Source organism: Homo sapiens, chromosome 4 (assembly GCF_000001405.40).
Source record: "Homo sapiens chromosome 4, GRCh38.p14 Primary Assembly".
NCBI classification, from domain to species: Eukaryota; Metazoa; Chordata; class Mammalia; order Primates; family Hominidae; genus Homo; species Homo sapiens.
The window spans coordinates 176701531-176723361 of NC_000004.12; the positions used below are offsets into that span (position 1 = coordinate 176701531).

At 34.7% G+C, this 21831-nt stretch overlaps 1 protein-coding gene and 1 long non-coding RNA gene across 2 annotated transcripts in view; one reads left to right on the top strand and one right to left on the bottom strand.

Moving 5' to 3' along the window:
* Positions 1–4613, top strand: part of HAFML (HuR (ELAVL1) associated fibroblast migratory lncRNA) — a 51960-nt gene extending 47347 nt beyond the window's left edge. Inside the window, exon 3 of the long non-coding RNA NR_183975.1 lies at positions 4373–4613. This is a non-coding gene — a long non-coding RNA (HuR (ELAVL1) associated fibroblast migratory lncRNA). The remainder of the gene's footprint in view (positions 1–4372) is intronic.
* The window catches only part of VEGFC (vascular endothelial growth factor C), a 109385-nt gene that overhangs the window by 17993 nt on the left and 69561 nt on the right, over positions 1–21831 (bottom strand). The window contains exon 4 of the mRNA NM_005429.5: positions 9969–10120. Coding sequence (NP_005420.1) covers positions 9969–10120 — 152 coding nt within the window. The remainder of the gene's footprint in view (positions 1–9968; positions 10121–21831) is intronic.

Genomic DNA, 21831 nt, shown 5'->3' on the forward strand with positions numbered 1-21831 from the left:
AACAAGACTGTCCAAAGGCAGGCAAACTATATATAAAAGTTACCTTCCCTTTACAAAAACAGTAACGCTCACAGCCTGGAATCTCTTGCCTGAGTTCCACTGGTAAATCCATTCACATCAACAGGTGATCCTTTGAAGTGTGAGACAATGTTTAGATAATGAGCTTTATAGGAAAGGGGATGAACAGACATATGACTTACGATTTCAAAAATAACCGTATATGGACATAAAGATTTTGAACTGGCAAAGAGGATAATTTCAGGGGAGACTAAAGATGCATGTTTTAAAATGCTGAAAAACAGTAGTTTCTGATGATCTAGTACGAGACTGTGGTCCAATTAACTGGAAGCTAAGCTATCTCTCCATTTCTGCTCTGATACAGTTTATTAAATTTATGTTATTAGGCTATTTTGCTTCATTGTCTTTTGGTAAAGCAATAATGTATAACCTTCAAATTAAAAAGGAAAGAGTGAAGCATTATGGCTAAAAGTACAACTTATGGATATTTAAGCATCTAGGCATTTGGACTGAGGATCTGTTAAATATTAATAGACCAAAAACACGGAGACCTCAAGTTCCAAATCAAATGTTTCCTTGGCTATAAATCTACTTACTCTATTCCTTGGAAATAAGACATGTTCTCATAAGAATAAAATCTTCTTAAATAAACCCTAGTAAGTGTAACTTCTTGCAAGCAAATAAGTTTTACTGAGTAAACAATGTCAACATTTTAATAAAAGAAATAAAAGACAGCAAATAAATAAATATGCAAATTAGCCTTCAGGCTAGATTTATCCATTTTTTTTCCTCATCTTTTTTCATCCCTTTTCTCTTTTTCACCACGAGGCGACTGTCTTCCAAATTGAAATAATACCTATCTTCTATATTTATTATCCATTAAAAATAATTCAAGATTTCTTGGCTATGCTGAACATTGTCTTGTCAATCATTCCTCTACCCAGAAACAACCTCTGCTCCCCTAATACCTCTACAGAATAGGTGAAATTCCCTAGGCTGCTGCTCAAAGCTTTAGAATCACAGTATTGTGTTTTCATTTAATATCCAATTGCTTTCACAGCTTAAGACTGAAATCAACCTGGTTTATTAACTGTGCACAGAACGTGTTATTTTATTACATCTTTAGGGACATTGTCCATGCTAACCAAATAACTAATAAATTTAGCACTATTAACTTCAAGGTCCTTGTCTATTTGACATCACTCTCTCCTCTTTGATTGTACTCTCTTGCTAATCTGTAGTGTATATTGACTTCCCTATAGTACATCGTCACAGAATAAAAAAAACATAAAAACTTGTGTTTATTTAATGGAATGCTATATAGTTATTAAATGAATACACCAGGTGTACAGATAGCAATATGACTATATCTGTAAAACATAATGTCAAGAGAAAAAAAGTAATGCCAACATTTTAACTTAAAATACAAAACACTCAAAGCTGCACTGTATAATATCTTCTGGTATGTTAATAAATCCAGATGCCATAAAAATACAGAAGAGTGAGAATAATACAATTTTTGAGTGGTGGTTACTTCTGGGAATGAAGAGTGAAGAATGATGACTGGGGATTTGGGTTGTATCTTTAGTAAATACAAAAAAATAGTTGTTACATTTCAAATTGGGGTAGAAGGGAACTTTTTTGTTTTGTTTTTGTTTTGTCCTTGATGTTTGATATTTTTTAATTTATAGAAGTTAAAAATAAAGAAAATCTGTTATATATACACAACGGAGTACTATTTAGCCATAAAAAGAATGCAATCCTGTCATTTGCATCAACATGGAGGGAACTGGAGGCTATTATGTTAAGTGAAATAAGCTGGGCACAGAAAGACACATATCTCATGTTCTCACTCATTTATGAGAGCCAAAAAGTGAATCTCACGGAAGTAGAGAGTAGAATGATGGTTACTAGAGTCTGGGAAGTGTGGGTCAGTTGTGGGGGGAATGAAGAGAGGTTGGTAATGCATTCCAAAGTACAGTTATATAGAAGAAACAAGTTCTAGTATTCCACAGCACAGTAGGGTAACAATAGTTAATAATATTTTATTATATATTTCAAAATAGCTAGAAGATTTAAAATGTTTACAACACAAAGAAATGATAAATGTTTGAGGTGATGGATATCCAAAATATCCTGAGCTGACCATTACGCATTATATGTATGTATCAAAATATCACATATACCCCATAAATATGTACAATTATGTATCAACTAAAAAACAATAAAAATGCAGTCATAGCCACACCTCAAAAGAAATGGATTATATCCAAACAAATTTAGTTTGAATCTCTGCTTTGCTACTTTTCTAGTTGTGTGACATTGGGGAAATTTACTTACCCTTTCTGATTCAGTTTCTCATGTGTAAATGTGAATTTCTTTCACTGTCTTGCTTTCTCTCCCCCTTTCTCAAAACACATTCTCCCTCTCTGTGCCCAGAGTATGGTAAGTTATTAGTAAATAAACATCTCTATTTCATGCTGTTCAGCTAACAGAGTAAGTCCCAGTTATTCTTGAACCTTTCTAATATTTGGCACCTCTTACCACTTCCTCCTTCCTTGAACTCATGTCTCCACTGGCTTTTGTGGTCTCTCTCTCTGTTGTTATTCCGATTGTTCTGATTGCTTCTTCTCAGTCTCCCGTACAGATTACTGTTTCTCCAGATTATTGTGTCTGCTCTACAGATAACTGTTTCTTAAATATTGATTTCCCCACAGTTTCATCTGTGGCTCATCTTGTCTTCTTACTTGCTATATTTCTTTTGGTTGAGGTCATCTCTTCCAATTACTCTACCACTCTGATGTCTTACAAATATTACAAGCACTCAAGCTAACATGTGTTAAAAACTCAGTTCTCCTTTTCAGGTAAGTTCCTACTATGAACAGGTGCTCCTTGTCTTTTGAATGTCATCCATACAGTTTCATCCTCAACTTCTCCCACTTTACCATCCCCCATATGCGGTTCCCAAGTCATATGCTTTCTTGTATTTCAAACGTCTTTTCCACCTCTTTTCTTTCTATCCCCATATCCACTGCTGTGGCCACCATCTTTATTATTTTTCACTCAGATTATTTCAAATGATTACTCCCGAATTTTTCCACCTCCCGTTTTGCTTCCTCTAATCCACACACTCCCTTGCCACCAAGCTGTTCTTTCTATAATACAAAACTGCAGATACCACATCTCTGCATATATACTTTTAGTAGTTCTCAAGAGACTTTAAGAAACAGCCCATCCTTGGCTGGGCATATGTGATTCTGTTGACCTCTCCAGACTCATGTATCCCCTCTCTACTGTAGCCATGTCTCCAAGATGCTTCCTCACCACACTGATTTCACTGATTTCAGTCATATGTTTACATGTCTGGTTCAAGAATGGAATTTCTTCTGGAGTAACAATTCTATGTATCTTTCTATCTCTGTGGTCTAACCACCTTATTAGTATCTAGCAGAAACACAAATGCTATTTGTTGAATGAGTGAATGAAGTACAGCATAGTGTTTTAGACACTTACTATACTAGAAATATTGTTTGTTTGTACTCTAGTACATGAGTTATTTTAGCTAAAGAATTATATTATTCATTTAAAAATACCCCACATTTCCTAATACAGTATTATAGAGATAGAAGACCTGACATAAATGTCTCATGAATGAATAAACAAACACTACTACCAAGGAGGAAAATCTAGGGGATCGCTACTTAATCACAAATGACTCCCTCCATGAAAAGAAAGTCTCTACTAAAGGGCCCATGGAAATACATGGAGTTAAATTTGAAGAAAATATGAGAGGAAATAATTGGAAAAAATAATCTGTGAGAACACCAATATGAAAATTGGTATCTAACTCTGTCTGCTAAAGAGAATTGCTACTTCCTCTGGCTTTTATGAAACTTTCTGATATTGAGACTTGAAAGTTTTTCTGTAAATACTAGAAATGTTAGAAGATATTGGGGGGAACACATGGGTTTCAGAAATAAAATGATTTTAATTTTTATATTTTCCTGGCAGTTTTTTTGGCTCTTTAGCATTTTACACATTAACATTTCTAAGACTCAATTTCCAAATCTGTAGGATGTTAGTAAAAATAGTAGCGATCATTTATTGAATGCTTAATATGTTTTAGGCACTGTGCTAATATTTAACATGGATTGCTGGTTATAAAGATCACAACATCCTTGAGTTAGGAGTTATTATTATTATACTATGCTATTCTACAATATCAGATTAACATGGCTATGGTATGTCAAATATGGTATAATGCTATTGAACAGATTGATTTCAGTGAAGATTAGCTTATAAATATTCTGTATGATGTTATATGTAACATTCTTACTTATGTGCTCTTTTGTAGATTAAAAAAAATGTGTCACAAGAAAGTTTACAGAACCTACTCAAACTCAAAGAGAAATCAGAGACTAAATTCTCAAAACTGGAAGCTCCCTACAGCATCCACACTCTTCAGCCTTGTACTATGTGATGTGTATTACGAATGGAGCCACCGGCAGTATTTGTATGAACATGAGACAATGTGTGGCAGATGCTTGGTGCTTTGTAATATTTAGTAAAATAAAACAATAATAATGTAACTATAATATGTGTTGTTCTTACTTGACTATAAGTGCTCTAAGTTCAGAGCCAGCCAAGCGCATCTTTGTTTTCTCTAATAGGATCTAGAAGCATTCTTTATCTTAGTGACTCAACGTATAGTTTTTGGATGACTGTGGGAAATCTCCCTCCCTAATCAAAGATTTGACTTAAAATGTTATTGTAAAGGTTTTAAAAAATCTACTATTTTGGCTGGGCGTGGTGGCTCATGCCTGCAATCCCAGCACTTTGGGAGGCCGAGGCGGGTAGATCACAAGGTCAGGAGTTCAAGACCAGCCTGGCCAGAATGGTGAAACCCCATCTCTACTAAAAATACAAAAATTAACCAGGCATGGTGGCGGGCAACTGTAATCACAGCTACTCGGGAGGATGAGGCAGAGAATTGCTTGAACCCAGGAGGAGGAGGTTGCAGTGAGCTGAGATCACGTCATTGTACTCCAGCCTGGGTGATAGAGTGAGAATCTGTCTCAAAAAAAAAAAAAAAAAAAAAAAAAAAAAGAGAAATCTACTATTTGAAACCTAAGCTACTTAAAAAATTGTACTTAATAAAGGAATTCTTTTCTAGGCTTTTCAAAAATCAATTTTATTGGGGAATAATTTGCATACAATAACATGCTCCTATTTTGAATTTATCATCTTTTCGTAAGTTTATGTATCCACATTAACTACTGTCACAATCAAAATAAAGAATGTTTCTAACACCTCACAATGTCTCTCTTGCCCATTGTCAGTCAATCCTGATCCAAATCCTCAAACAAACACTGAATTGCGTTCTCTCACTCTAGAGTACATTTGCGTCTTTTAAGGGCCTCATGTAAATCAAATCATAGAGAATGTACTCTTTTTAGCCAAGCTTATTTCACTCAACTTAATGTCTCTGAGATCCTTTTATGTTCTTGTGTGTATCAGTAGTTCATTCTTTTTACATTGCTCAGCAATGTTCCACTGTATGCATATACTAAGATGTGTTAATCCACTCATCTTTCATGGGCATTTGAGTTGTTTCCAGTTATTGACTAATAAAGAACATTTGTACACAAGTTATTGTGTGGAAATATGTACATGTTAAATTCATAAGAAACTGTCAACTGTTTTGAAAAATGATTGAACAATTTTAATGCCCATTGGTGACATAGGAGTTTTGGTTGCACCACATTCTAACACTTGTTTTTGTCAGTGTTTTTAATTTTAGCCACCGTGGTGGTGATTGTTCCTCTTAAATCTTAACAAATGTTAGAATTTTATAACATAGTCACATGTCCATCATATATATATTATCACTAGTGTAGCTTTTATTGAATTGTGGGCCATAATTCATAAAGGGTTGAGACCAATATTTTCACAAAGAAAAACAGAATAGAAAAATTATTTGGGTATATCACACGTAATAATAAGGCAAATATTCATAAAGGGAGTAAAATCATCTCTAAGGGGGTAAAAATTGGGTATGAGGCCTGGATGGGGCTAAAATCTTAATATCTCAATGATTTTTGGCTCTCCAAAACCCAAGAAAATAATATTCCTTAATACTTAAATTCTATTTGGTTTTATTGGCCATTACATGAACAGCATTGGCAACGGAACACACCCCAAGTGTTTGCAATATATGAGCTATGAAATTATGGTGACTAGATGGCTATGACTGGAGGATTTTCTCTTAATTGACTGAGTGATTTCAAACATATACTGAGTGGTACCTATGTGGGCCTATTGGCTGCCATTGGTTGCCCTGTGGATATTGCTTATGCTTGGTCCTTGGTGTTTTCATGTGTGACTTGAGCTTTGAGAATTAAATAATAATAATTTATATTTTATTATTAATTCTACAAATGTTAGTCATACCATTACATGTCAAATGATGAAAAGAAAAAGTTGACAATATCTAAATTAATATTTATCATCTATATAAGTTAAAAGTTTTCTCATACTGAGCAAAGTTAATAGTTAAGCTCTCCAAATATTTTTAAAGAAGTTATTTTAAAAATTATTTTACTTTTGCTGGAAAAATAGTGATTTTGAATGTTTTTATAAATTATTATATTTGTATTATATATTCATATCAATTGTTACTTTGCATATGTAATTTGATATATTACAATTTATATAAGTAAACAGATTACCTTAAAAGTTTCCTGGCAAATACAATTATAAATTTATGTTAGCTGTTAAGAGATTAAAAATTTTTAATTTAAATGTTAACTTAAACATTTTATTTGTTATTTAACACTACATTGAACAAAAAAGTAAACTTTACACTTCCTTTTTATGTATAAAGCACAGAGATACATATAGTATAAAGACAGAGTATATTTGTTACATTAAAATTTTATGGGGAAAGTGATTAGGGAAAAAATGTTTATAAAAGGATCCTTGGGGTTGTGATAATGAGAAAGCTTGAGCAGCACCATAATTAAGGACAATATTTTTAAATGGTAATTTGTTTTAGTTTTATGCTTATACATAATTAATTACATGTGAAGTTATCTAGCTAATTTAAAATTCTCTAATATCGACATATATATATACACAGAGACACACTATGTGTGTGTATACCACACATCCTGGTTTGGAATATAAAATGTTTTTCTTACTGTAGATAGTGGTTTTAAAAATACTGAAAAACACATGGGTGAGGAAATGAATCAGACTTAGATATTAATGGTAATAATAAATTTGCCCTTTAATGACTACCTTCTGGATACCAGACACTCTGCTAAGCATTGCATAAGCATTCAGTACTTCATTCAATCCTCTTTACATCTTTACAGTTTATATATAAGTAAACTGAGTTTCAGAGACATAAAACACCTACCTGATCACAGAGAATGAATTAGTGGCAAATCTGAATTCAGAATCAGGTATGGCTTACTCTAAGACTCAGGCTCTTTTTGCTGTAGCTTCCTGTCTCTTCTTGACCTCAAACAGTGTATAGGATAGTAGTTATATGAATAAGTAATGATGAAAACATGGCAAATGCTATAAAATACATCCAGGAAATGAGTCATTTTATTTAACAAGCATTTATGTACATTATTTAGCCAACAGCTTTGGAGTGTGATTTCCACCTTTATCTGTAAAATAAGGCAAATGCTGCTGCTGACCTTCTAGATGATTTTGTTAAGGGTTAAATCAGACAATGCAGGTAAAGGGGCTGAGAGCACAGGAATGGCTCAAGTATTTTTGAGTGTTGTTAGCTGAATGTTGCAGACAATATAAACTTACTGGAAACACTCTCATAATCCAGTTCCACATGCAACATTTGCAGACCCTGATAAAGCCATGTGAGGATGAAGTTAATCCAGTGAGTGCTATGGGTATTCAAGAAGCAAAGTTGGCCGTGGTATTCGGACAAGACAAATGCAGGAGAAAGACCTTTACCTGAACTCTGAGAAATGGAGAGGGCTTTGGAAAGGCAGAACACAAGCCAGGGCCAGAATAGAAACAAGATACAGAGCAGGAAATGAGCTTGGCGTTCTGGGAATCGGACTTGGTGAAACACAGACTGGGTGAATAATGGAAGACAAAACAAGAAAGGAAGGCTGACACCAGAATAGGGTGGTGAGAAATTTGTGCTCAGTTCTTTGAGCAACTGAAAGTCACTGTTTCTGGTGAGATGAATGAAACGATGCCTTTTAAAGCTTACTTCATAAAACAGTGACATTATACAACAGGAGAAAGACTTGATGCTTGAAAACTAGTATTAATATCACTGCATTAGATCAGAGACATGCATAATGAAGTGGATGATAATGGCAGTGATGGAAATGAAATATAAGTTTAGCTTGGAACACATATCTCCCCCTCCTCCAAAATAATCAATTGTGTTTAGATGGGATAGAAGAAGAAGAAGAAGTAATGACAACTCTGTGATTTCAAGGCCTCAAAGAAAATGAGAAAACACTGCCATGAATAATGTAGAAATAAAGGATTTAACAAGTCTTTCTCTTTGTACTTACAGCTAATATAATTACAAGCAAAGCAATAGAAGATAGATTTAGATAAAATATTATAAGTCAAAAATATGGTTAGATCTTCAAATGTCATTTTGGAAGCCATGAGTATGGAGATAATGGCTAAAGCTCTCAGAATGGAGGAGTCACTGAGGGCTTCTGCTCAGGGCTGAGGAAGGTGAACAGAACTCTCTAGCCTGCGGGGATGAAATTGCACATACGGCATCCTCTTGAGTTCAGATGGTAGTGGTCTCTTGCTTGTATTAGCATACATTTATTCACAAATGTCTGTAAGATCTTTGCTTTCTCACATAAAAGGGGACAGATCTCTGTCACTCAAATTAGGCTATCTTCCAGGTTTTCCTAAACTGTCCCTGGACAAACAAGGGGTCCCCCTATCTGCCACACTAAGCAGAGTAGTACAACGTGATTCAGTGGGGAAAACCATGGTTTGCATATTACATTTATTGTTGAGTCTTTTAAAAATGTAAGGTTTTCTTTTTTGTAATATATATGTATTTTGATCAATTTATTTATACATTTGTTACAAATGCTAGAGTTATGTAAGTTTCATCCATATGCACCGGATATCCTAAGGAACAAAGGGTTGCATCCCTACTTTGGGGCAGAAAACTCTCAGATCTTAGGCAGTAATGCATATTAATTCATTATCAGCTATTCACAGGGTCAGAACATGATCATACAGGAGAACGTGATAAGTTCTCCTATATGATCACATGAGGTATATGCTGCCATTTGCCCCTCCAAAAAAATAGGATGGAAAGGAAACCTGAATAACAAATAATGGTTTGAATGTCAATTTGAAATGATATTAACAGAAATTTTTTTCAAGTAATTAAGCACTATTTCACTATTCAAATATTGCTGAAATAAGAAACATGGAGATACATATATACACATATACACACACACACATATATATTTTTATGTTTGAGATTGAAGAAAGCAACTGAATGCTAATAGATATAAAATTATTTATATTTACTTTTTGTTTTGGCCTAAAATCTTATCAAGGCTGAAATGTTTTGAACTTTAATATGATTTATGAGTTAGCATACCTGATTTCAGGAATGTTAAATCAATTAAGCTACCTTACTGATATTTTATGAACACTGGTGGAATGTGTTTTATTTCACAGACATACTTCTTTTATATTGTGAATTACTTTGCCTCTAAAATACGCTTCCCACTGAATTTTAATTTTCAGTTTATTTTCATTGTATACTATACAAAATTTTGTCTTTGTTTTGTATTTGAAGCAGAGTATATTACAGTAAATTTCACAGAGGTTATTTGTTTAACTTATGTTTACTTGAAAATAATTTAATATTAGTAGAGGATGCAGAAAAAATAGATTTAATTCATACTCACTGTGGTAGTGTTGCTGGCAGGGAACGTCTAATAATGGAATGAACTTGTCTGTAAACATCCAGTTTAGACATGCATCGGCAGGAAGTGTGATTGGCAAAACTGATTGTTACTGGTTTGGGGCCTTGAGAGAGAGGCACTGTAATTTCAAATAACTACAAAGAAGGGACAAAAAGAAGAAAAAATTATATAGATGCTGTAAAGCACTTTTATGGTAAATATTGGAGTCCGAAAAAGAGTGAGATTAGCTCTATATAAGTAGCTGCCTAGTGTACGCAGGACGCTATGTTTTTATGATTACAAAGTAAAAACTGTCTTGCTCCTAACCAGTATCTTTTATCAGAGTAATAAATACTCCATATGTTTATCTTATGTCACTAGTTATGAAGCATATTAGAATTAGGATAACCAACTAATTGGTTATCCTATTAGACGTGACAGAACAATGTGTTCAAGAAAAAAGAACTGTTTCAAAGTTATAGATTATTTGAAATGAACATTTAAAATATTCCAGGGATTTAAAAAGTGTCACACACAGAAACATCTTTGTGATTTAGGAGCAAAGCTATTGGCCACACAACCCAGAAATACTTGGTTATGACCTACTTTAAATAAACTGAATACATAGACGTAAGTTACATAGATGTAAAGTTAATTTTTATTAAATTTCTACCTCAATGTAGTTTTATATGTCTTAGATCTCTTATAAATTGATTATGTTTAAAACAAAAAAAACTACATTTATAATTTAATAGATAAAGCCATGTTTCTGCTATCTTGGTAAAGGAATTATGAAAATAATGAGCTTAAAATAAAGTAGGGCATTTTACACAATTCTGAATTACAGTCAAAATTTAGTTTAACTGGTCTCCTTCTGAACGCCTTATTTATGGATCAAGAACTTCTTGTGTTCTCTTCCTTCTCCAAAAACAATGTTTTAAATTAAATAAACAAATACATCATTGATTAAGTAAAACTAAGTAGATTTAAATTCCTAGTGTTCTTACACTCTAAATCATTACCAGAAAAAATGGTAAAAGTGAAATCTTGCCCACTAACTGCTTGATAAGATCAACTTGCAGTCATTTAACTATAATTGATCCATGTATTACTTGGTGTCTTCATGACAATCTGAGCAGTGATAAAAAAGATGACAAACTTCAAAGCATTGTGACTTGGCCTTTGCTGAACTTTCACGCCATCAGCTGAAGACCATTGAAAATATTTATGGGATAGGATTAGCTGCCAATTTTGTCCATGCCAACAAGGAGACTTTTTAAATGAATTCTGAATAATGAAATACAGAAATATGTAAATTATAAAATGCATATTGTCTTCATTCAAGATGTATTCCTTATATATTCATTTAAAATGTAACTACTTTCTTTAGAAAACAATATGCTTTAGAAGAAATAGGTACAGGGTTATACCCAGACAGGTGGCTTTTATTAGCTCTCCCATTTATAAGTAGCATAAATTTGGAAAATTCATTTGACTTCTCCAAGCTGTATTTTTCTTTGATAATCAGTAAACTAAGGATAACACTTGACTCATTATTCTCAGATTATAAAGATTACATAAACTAAATGAATCTGATATGTATATTATTTGCTATACAGATCTAAGTTATTACTATTTGTGTAAATTCTCAAGATTCTAGGTATTCTCCACAATACTGTCTGATCTGCATAGATAACTTCACTATGTGACCTCAACATATGCCACTATTATGATTTTGACCAGTTTCTTATCTAAAAAGATACCCGTTTATACACGTTGGATAAAATCTTTGATTAGGTGAAATATTGCAATGGCAGTAATCCTTTGCACTATATATACCTATTTTAAGAGAGAATTCTGCAGTGTCTTCATAAGCTACAATTTTTCTATCTTTTAAGACATCTATGGAATCTATATTAAGAACTAGCACTACAGAAGACATACAAAGTGGTTTTAAAAAGCAATTTTTAATAAATTTATAAAATTACTTATTTTTTATATTTGTATAATTTATAATTTGATTATTTAAGCTCTGCAATAATGTAGATGGTAGGAAGGTGTACCTAAGAATTTAGGTCTAGTAGGCAGTCACATATGTGTGTCTAGAGTTTAGGAGAGCCATTGAAAAGTCATGAACATTTAAGCTGTAATTGGAGTCTTGGACATTGATGAGATTACTTGATGAGCACTCTAAATGAAAAGAGAAAATGTCTAAGAATAGAAACCTGGGGCACAGGAACATCTATGAGGTGGGAAGAGGCAAAGGAACTAGTGAATATGTCTGGGAAGAAGCATAACAATGATGGAGCATCAGGAGGGGAGACTGTCAAGCCAACGGGTGCCAGAGAAAGAGGGGAGAGCTTCAAACAGGTGTGTGTGGTCACAGGGCCACATGTCTTCGGGAAGTCAAATGTAACAAGAATTGACAGGAGATAACCAGCACCCGATGTGGTTCCAAGGGCTGTGGCAGGGCAGGGGCTGTAGGAAGGAAGCAGCAGTGGAGACGGGGGACAAGAAGAGGTGCTCCATGTGACTAGTGGGAAAGGGCTCAAGTGGCTCAGACCAGCAGAAACAATTTTGCTTACACGCACAGTGTTTGTAATCTGATATGGTTTGGATCTGTGTCTCCTCCAAATCTCATGTTGAAATGTGATTCCCAATGTTAGAGGTGGGAGCTGGCGGGAGATGAATGGGTCATGGGACCAGATCCCTCATGAATGGCTTAGCACCATCCTTCGGTAAGAAGTGAGATTTTCCTGTTAGTTCATGCTAGAGCTGGTTGTTTAAAGGAGTCTGAGACCTCTCCCTTCCCTCTCTTGCTCACACTCTGGCCATATGACACACCAGCGCCCCCTTCCACCAAGATTGCAAGCTTCCTGAGGCATCACCAGAAGGTGAGCAAATGCCAGCATCATGCTTCCTGTACAGCCTGCAGAACCATAAGCCAATTAAGCCTATTTTCTTTATAAACTACCCAGTCTTAGGTATTCCTTTATAGCAATGCAAAAACAAAGTAATAAGTAAGCACAGCAGGATTTGGCATTGTCTCCAGTGAAACCAGGCAGGACAGAGCCTGATAGTGAAGGTAAGGCACTATTTGAGATAACTAACAGCTATTGTAGAAGAGTTTATGTTTTCCCACCCCTAACCCTTGGCAGCATCATTCCTGCTCCCACTGATGGCTGCCCTTCCAGATTCTGCCCCAGCCTGTTTTCCAAATGGTAGACAGATTGCCGTGAGCAGTATCAGTGATCATGGAGAGACCTCATCCATGCCTAGGTAGATAATGTTCACAAATCAGGATCCACCCATGGGTATCAAGCATGAATTCAGGAACAGCAGCTTTGAAGAATGTTCTGGTGAGATGAAGAATAGCTAATTCACATTAAGAAAGCATCTTCCTGGAAAACTAAGTGTGGCTCTATGCTTTCAAAGGCTGCAAGAAATGTGTTTTTGAATACACTGACTAAAAGAATAAGGAGACAGGTAAAACAGCACTAAAACCAAATCACTGTTTAGAGAACTGTCTTTTCCTCTAAGTTGAAGACTTTTATAAGTGGTAAAATGGAAGACTTTTTTACAGTTGGAGAGAAAAAAATCTTTGTTGCAGTTTAACTACTTAAAGGAAATAAAGGAAATCACAACATAAAGGAATCAAAATCAAAATCTTAATAACTAATGTCTCATTTCTCTTTTTTGTGTCTAAGTAGCAATTGGCAGGCTGAATTCAGTTAATTTTGTCAAAAGGAACAGAGATTGAAAAATTAAAGTTAAAAAATTTTGTTCTTCTCTTGAAACACATCCTCTATCCCTAAATTTTGACCTGCTACTTGATGATACCAGTGTGAAAAAATTTTAAGAGTCCAGAGAAAGATACCTTTGATAATATTAAAAGTAGAAAGAGTCTTGATAATTGAGTTTTATTTATCTATCAACTTCAGGAAAATTAGTAATATCTACTGGGAATATGCCATCTGGGTATGTATTAAGATATAATTGTACCTATACCAGCTCTTGTCACATACTAAAGAGGCCTCTTTAATTTTTCTAATTCTTTCTGTGCTGGTCTCATGTGTGTATATTGACTGACTTACTCTTATCAGTTAGACATGATTACAGTTTCTACTGCCTTTTCAATAAATATAGTAAATTCTATTTTCTTGTTTACAGACCACTTTGTGAATTTTTACATAGCTATATTTAATCCCTACGTTACTAAGAATTTCCGTAAGCTTTTTTTCCTAGATAGTATGTGCTTAGAAAATATACATTTTTTGAACTGAAAAAATAATAATTAGAAGTGCATTATAAACTTGCATGGCGCCCTCCCAAAATAAATACATAACATTTTCAAATCACTGGCAACTTCCCTACTCCACGAAGTATGTAAGAATAAACAAGAGTTTACTTAGTCTTGAGAAACAGACAGTAATTAGAGTCCTGGATCTTCAATTTACTACTTCTGAGACTTGGAAAAATTACCTAACTTCCCCAAGCCTCCATTTCATTACCTATAAAATAGGGATAATAATAATGGTGATTTCAGTGTAATGTTTGGATTTCTCTTCCTCCTCTTCTTTCTCTTGTTCTTTATCATCATTCACATCAGCCAAGATTTAGTTAAATTTTTGTTAAAGAAATTCTAAATTTTAAAATTTTTATTTAAAATCTTTCCTTGTTTAGTTTTCAGTAACTATTTATTCAGTACCTACATGATACCAAGCACCTTGCTAGAATCTCAGGATAACAGTCATCAGTAATGACCTTGCCTCTATGCTGATCAGAAACCTAACAATGAGGGCGGGGCATGGTGACTCACGCCTGTAACCCCAGCACTTTGGGAGGCTGAGGTGGGAGGATCACTTGAGGTCAGGAGTTCAAGACCAGCCGGCCCAACATGGTGAAATCCCGTTTCTACTAAAAATACTAAAATTAGCTGGGTGGCGTGGCGGATGCCTGTAATCCCAGCTACTTGGGAGGCTGAGGCAGGAGAGTTTCTTGAACCCGGGAGGCAGAGGTTGCAGTGAGCCCAGATTGCACCACTGCACCTGCACTCCAGCCTGGCCAACAGAGGTGGACTCCCTCTCCGAAAAAAAAAAAAAAAAAAAAAAGAAAAAGAAAAAAAAAGAGACCTCACGGTGAGGGTGAATGAGAACATACATATACACAGAGAGAGATACTATGGTAGAATTTCTGAAATACCAAATAGCTTACCGTAAACACTGGAGTTTAATTCCCTTATGCAATTTGTTCTTGCCATTAATAATGATCTGAACTAACATAGTAACTAGAATTTCCTCTCAAAAGAGTTTAGATCTATCCAAACATATCAATGTTTGAAACAGTAAGTAGATTATTTTAAGAAAATATGAATCATGATACTATTGTCAGACTATTTTGTGCTTTATTGTGTATATAATAGTATTTTCTGTTCTACATTTAAGTTCATAGCACATAAAATTTATGTATTATTCAGCACTAGCTAATAGCTCCAAGTATGTTTATTTAGTAAATACTGATTGATGATGTATTTAACTGATAATGTATCTATTATAATTTGATATTTTGAAAATTATGATTTTTCTAAAACAGTTTTATACAATAAAGTGAATTGTTCTGAACCAATAAGTAATATTAACTTGTGTCCAATGTAGGACACAAAAAAAGTTGTAATAATACAATTCATTATGAAGCCTGACATATACTTTAGGCATATAATACCAGTTGTTGGTTTTGGAGAAGATCAAAAGGACATATAAAAAAAGGCATTTAAGCAAGGTTGGAAACTGAAAAAAAAATCTGACTGTATATTCTGTAAAACTATAATAAACAAGAGGAAATGGCAAGTGTTTCCAACTGAGAGGTTCCCAGTTGTAATCTACTGGCATTCTTTAATAGGAATATTTAATAGTCAATTCTCACCAACAAGAATGGACTTCAAATAAAGCCACATTTTGAAACAATAGGTTGTTTACAGCAGCATAGCAACGGCTATAAAGCAACAATTCCTAATCGTACTTATCTTGCTGGCTATTCAAGAAAAAGGTGTAGAACTTCCTTACTGAGAGGATCTTGAGTTATAATTTAGTACTAAATTATAAGTAATGTTTGTGTGGATACAAATATGACACAAAAAATGCCTTCCTTTAAAACACCATTATATCCTAAATATAACCAGTTTCTCTTCAGAACAAATCTCACTACCATATTTAATTTAAATTTAAATATTCCAAACTTTAGTCCATTAAGTACAGATATATGTACCCCCAGAAGAATATGATTAATAACTATAAAATCAGATTTTAAAACTACAACGAATTTAAAGAAATAATGCCCCAAAATGGGAAAAGGTCTTAGCATTTTGACTTAGCATTGCAACCACATGGCCAGCTATAAAAGGCCTGTGGAACTTAAATTGGGTTTGGGAAAGAAAATGGAATAACAGATAGCCTAACAGATTTAAATCTGGTACTGAATTAATTTTAACATATTGTTATGCATAAAAAGTATACACAGTACCACAATTAAAATAAAAACCTCAATTGAAGAGTTTTAGAAATACTGAATAAAATACGTGAATCTCATTGTACCTTGGGTTGGAAAAAAGTGGTATTTTTCACAGATGCATTAATTATGTTCTTAAGGCAAATGTTATTCTTAAAGAAAGTTCTGATAACTGGTACTGGCATAGAGTTCTTTTTCCACATCAGGATAAAACCTGATTTCCAAAAACTGTGCTTGCCAAATATTAACTTGCTAAAGATACAATACAAATCACGTTCCACTTGCTGAATACAAAGGAATGTAATAAATTAATCTTCCAGACTGCTGCAGTATTCTGTTTAATTAATGGAAGAAATATCTCTGACTGCAGTGCAAAATAATACCTCTAATTTCATTATATAGTTGCATATTTTACTTAGGTTTAAATATTTTTTGTTGTAAAATTTTATGAAACATCCAACTTAAATATAATCGAGCATGTCTTTGTTAATATACATGCTCATATTATTGATTGCTCATATTATTGCTTTATAAAATAATGAAAAAGAAGTAGCTGCTTGTTTTTAAGATGGCAATGTAGAATTTAAAATAATGCTGCTTCTATGTATCAGAATTAGCTCATAGCAAGCTAGCTTCTTAACTAAACTGGCTTCTTTAGTCTGGCACTAATGAACACAGCAAAGAACTTCTAGTTCCTTGAGCTTGATTTAACCCCACCATTTTCAGGAAGACTCTAGAGATTGAGCTGTTTTTCTTTATTCTTTCCTAGATTTAGTAAAATATATAAGGTAAATACTAACATTCAAGTAACTTTTAATCCAAATGTGTGCCTCAAAAGCAGATGACTTTCTTCTGCTTCTGCTTTCATCACCAAATAATTTACCCCCTGCAAAATTCATTTTCTACTTTTTGGTTATATCTCTTAAACATACAACTTCTCATAAGAAAATATACTCAAAGTGTATGTTTATGAAAGAGGTTGAAAAGACATCCAATCTACTTAACTTTTCAAAGCCACTTAGATACTTGTGTGGAGAACTTTGAAGCAGTTTTTATCCATTAGTATACTTTGGAATGCACAGTGCATATGCTTTTACTTTTCAATGAACAGCTGGCTTCCTCACACGCCCTGATAACCTCCCCTTCATTGAGTCCCATTTTAAAAAAGCATTTCTATGAAGTATCTATAAAAAACTTGAGTTTAACATTACCTAAGGTACATTGTCCTTACAATTTACATCATGCCAATTGGTGGCTTTGCTACAAAATGTGCCTGGAACTCTTTTAACAAAACGAAAAGTCTTTTTTTTGTTTTTTTTTACCTTAAGAAAACACAGCATTAAGAAATTTCCTTTTATATTTGAAGGAAATCATCACACACTCCCATTCATACTACACTGATAATGCAATAAATTGAATAAACTCAGGAAAAGCTGCTACTTAAGTACACGTTTTCAGAACTTGGAATATTAGTAAAAATGTAGGAACACTGCATTCTTGCTTTCAGAAATTTTATGCCTCGACCTCCCTTGGTTTATAAACATCCTGGATATGCACTTCCATAAGCCTTTGTACTTTTCCTTCACAACACTTAAACTACTTTTAATTACTTGATAAATGTTGATTTCGCTTGCTAATTTGTTAGTTCCATAGGGCAGGATCTATCCATCACTGTACACCTACACTTTGTGCATAGCATGCTTTTAGTACATAATATGAAGCGTCACATAATGGGTGTACCACATGCACTTGTCTAACTGAATTTAAATTAAAACTATCTGCCGGGTGCGGTGGCTCATGCCTGTAATCCCAGCACATTGGGTGGCCGAGGCGAGTGGATCACTTGAAGTCAGGAGTTCGAGACCAGCCTGGCCAACGTGGTGAAAACCTATCTCTATTAAAATACAAAATCAGCTGGGCGTGGTGGTGGACACCTGTAATCCCAGCTACTCGGGAGGCTGAGGCAGGAGAATCGCTTGAACCCAGGAGGTGGAGGTTGCAGTGAGCCAAGATCACACCATTGCACTCCAGCCTGGGTGACAAGAGTGAGACTCCGTTTCAAAAAAAAAAAAATTCCTTATACTATAAACAAAAATATAAGCGAATCCTTTGGATAGGAAAAGGGCATGATAATACAAAATCAAAGAGGGAAATGCAGGGCACAGCTAATGATGAATGTTGGCTTTCCCTTGGTACTGATGTTTGCTCTTCTCTTGTGATACATCAATACCCTAAGAATTAATAAGCACACCAGGCTTCAAATGACATTTATCAGAATGATGCTTCCTCCCAAATCTATATTTAAAGACCCAGTTATTGTTCTAAAATTTTAGAATTGTACATCAAACCTTCTGGTATCTCCACCTAAACACCATTCAGACTCTTTCAAATCAGCATATTCAAAATTTGACCTTTGACCCCAAATTTGTTTCTTTTTATTCAAATATTCATTTTATTCACTTCTAAGTGTTTGCTATGTGCCAACTACTGTGCTATTGTTCAGTGTAACAAGCAGACGCAATCTTTGTTTTCATGGAGTCTAGAACCTATGGAATAAGACTGGGTGCAGTGGCTCACACCTGTAATCCCAGCACTTTGGGAGGCAGAGGTGGGAGGATCACCTGAGGTCAGGAGTTTCTAGACCAGCCTGGCTAACATGGTGAAACCCCATCTCTACTACAAATACAAAAAATTAGCCAGGTGTGGTGGTGCACACCTGCAATCCCAGCTACTTGGGAGGCTGAGGCAAGATAATCACTTGAACCCAGGAGGCAGAGGTCACAGTGAGCTGAGTTCCTGCCACTGCACTCCCCCACCTGGGCAACAAGAGTGAGACTCCATCTAAAAAAAAAAAAAAAAAAAAAACCTAGGGAATTAAACAAAGATAAAACAATCTGACAGATAAGGTAATGATGCTAAGATACAGCAACAATGGATGCTGTGGAAGCACATAACAGAATGTCCTGGAAGTCACATTTATGTTTAGGCCTAAGGATGAGTAGACATTAACTAGATACATCGAGATACGGGATCATGTGTAGGGAGATGTTTCAAACACAGAGTACAGCATTGCAATACTGGAGGTGACAGATATTGACATAACCCAAGAAGTGAAAAGAATTTGGGTCTTAGTGGTAAGTAGTGTTTGTGGGGAAAAGCATTGACATTTGAGGCTGGACACTTAGGTAGCATCCAGATCATTGAGGGCCCAGGAAATTATGTTTAAGGGATTTTGTCTGAAAGAAGAGTTCCATTCAAAACACTAACAACTTAGAACATTTGTACCAATCAATCTGACCAGATGCTGGCCTAAGCAACCCAATTAGAAAAGATAAGCTTATCACCACACTAGTTGAATGCTGGCTCCATCCCAATAAGGCAATGTTATCAAGGAGTTTTTAGCAGTATCTGACTTAGCATTAAGAAAAGAAAAAAAAATCACTGCTAAAAAGTGGCAAATAGATTGGAGGAAAGGAAGAATGGAGGTAGGAGACCAGTTATTAGGCTTGTCCAAGAGGAATGGTCTAGGTAAGGGGTAAATGTGACCTAGATCAGAGCGGGATTAGCAGCGTGGAGACACTGGATAGGTCCTAGAGATGTTTGCAAGGTAGATTGAATAGCAATTAGTTTTGGTGAAAGGAAGAATAACTTGGCTTGACCGACTGGCTGAATGATGATGTCATTTACTAAGACACAGAACACTGGAAAAAGAATAGGATTCACTTACTTGCTTATTTGGGCAAGGTGGTAGGGAATAGGTTCTAACTGTTAAGTGAGACAGACTGACCTGTCTGAGGGACAGCCAAGTCACAAGGTTGAGTGGACAGTATAGAAATCAGGAAAGAAGCCTGAATTGGAGGGAAAGGTTTGGGAAAAGTAAAAAAAAGTAGATGAGAAAATACAAGGAGAGTTACAGTCTGCAGAGAAGGTGTCTTAGGTCAGAATTCTCAGGAGAAATACCATATTTTTGATGAACTACAAATTTTTAATTCTCAAAATCTTCAAATCTTTAAAAAATTAAAATGACAAAATAAAAACTAATGCTATATAAATTTTAAAATATGACTGCATTACAGATCAGAATGTATAAATATTGTGATTATTGTAAATATATAGCCCACCAATAGGATAGAAAAAAAACTGAAAAAAAAATCAACCAATAACAAAAAAGCAGACAAACTTCAGAAATTTCATGGGCAAGTCCTGATTTTTCACACAAGCAAATGATTGGGAAGAAGTTGACAAAACTCATATCAACATTGTAAATCTATTATAAAAGTAAGCCTAAATTCTGCAAAGCTGGGAGGTGAAAGAGATGAAATACAGCAAGAAAAGATTCCATGTGATCTAAAGTAGACAATTTTCTTATAGCAAATATCTGATGTTTAAGTACTAAGTAGACTGGGCAAAATTATTTCACCTATATGCAGCTTACACTTAGCACTAAATGCTCATCTTACCCCTGGCCCCTTGTAATTTTTTTCTTTTGTTTTTTTTTTGTTTTTTTTTTTTTTGAGGCAGGGTCTGGCTCTGTCACCCAGGCTGGAGTGCAGTGCTGCGATCTTTACTCACTGCAGCCTCTGCCTTCCAGGATCCAGCAATCCTCCCACCTCAGCTACCTCCCGCGTAGCTGGGACCACAGGTGCACAACACCATGCCTGGCTAATTTTTATACTTTTTTGGGGAGACAGGGTTTCACTATGTTGCCCAGGCTGGTCTCCAATTCCTAAGCTCAAGAGATCTGCCTGTCTTGGCATCCCAAAGTGCTGGGATTACAGGTGTAAGCCACAGTGCCCAGCGAAGCCTTGCAATTTCTAAAGCCTAAACCTCTCCAACACCTCCCTCTTGATAGAGCAATTTTTATGCTACTGAGCATACACACCTACCCTTGAATAAATACTTTCACTCCAATACCCACTGGGTGAATGTGACACCTAATTAGACCAATGCAGAAAATGAATATGCAATGGTCACAGAAAAAACTCAAATGGTTAATAGAAGACTAAATTTATTTACTTTGCTTACTAACAATGTACTGATTTTCTGTTTTCCAAGTTTAGATTTTACCTAAGGTATGCTTAGGTATCTATTTGGCCCATATGTAAAGTATGCATTTATTTGGTTGACCAATAGTAAGAAAGATATAATGTTGGCTTTTGCTCATATTAACTAATGAATGAGAGAATAAAGAAGAATTTTCTTCCTTATCTGTAAGAGAAACAGATATCTATATCTCATCTAGTCATCTGGATATCTAGATATAGATATAGATAGATATGTTTCTTTTACAGATACATATATGTATATCTGTATATACATATGTATATATATACATACATATATAAAGTTTATATTTAGGTTT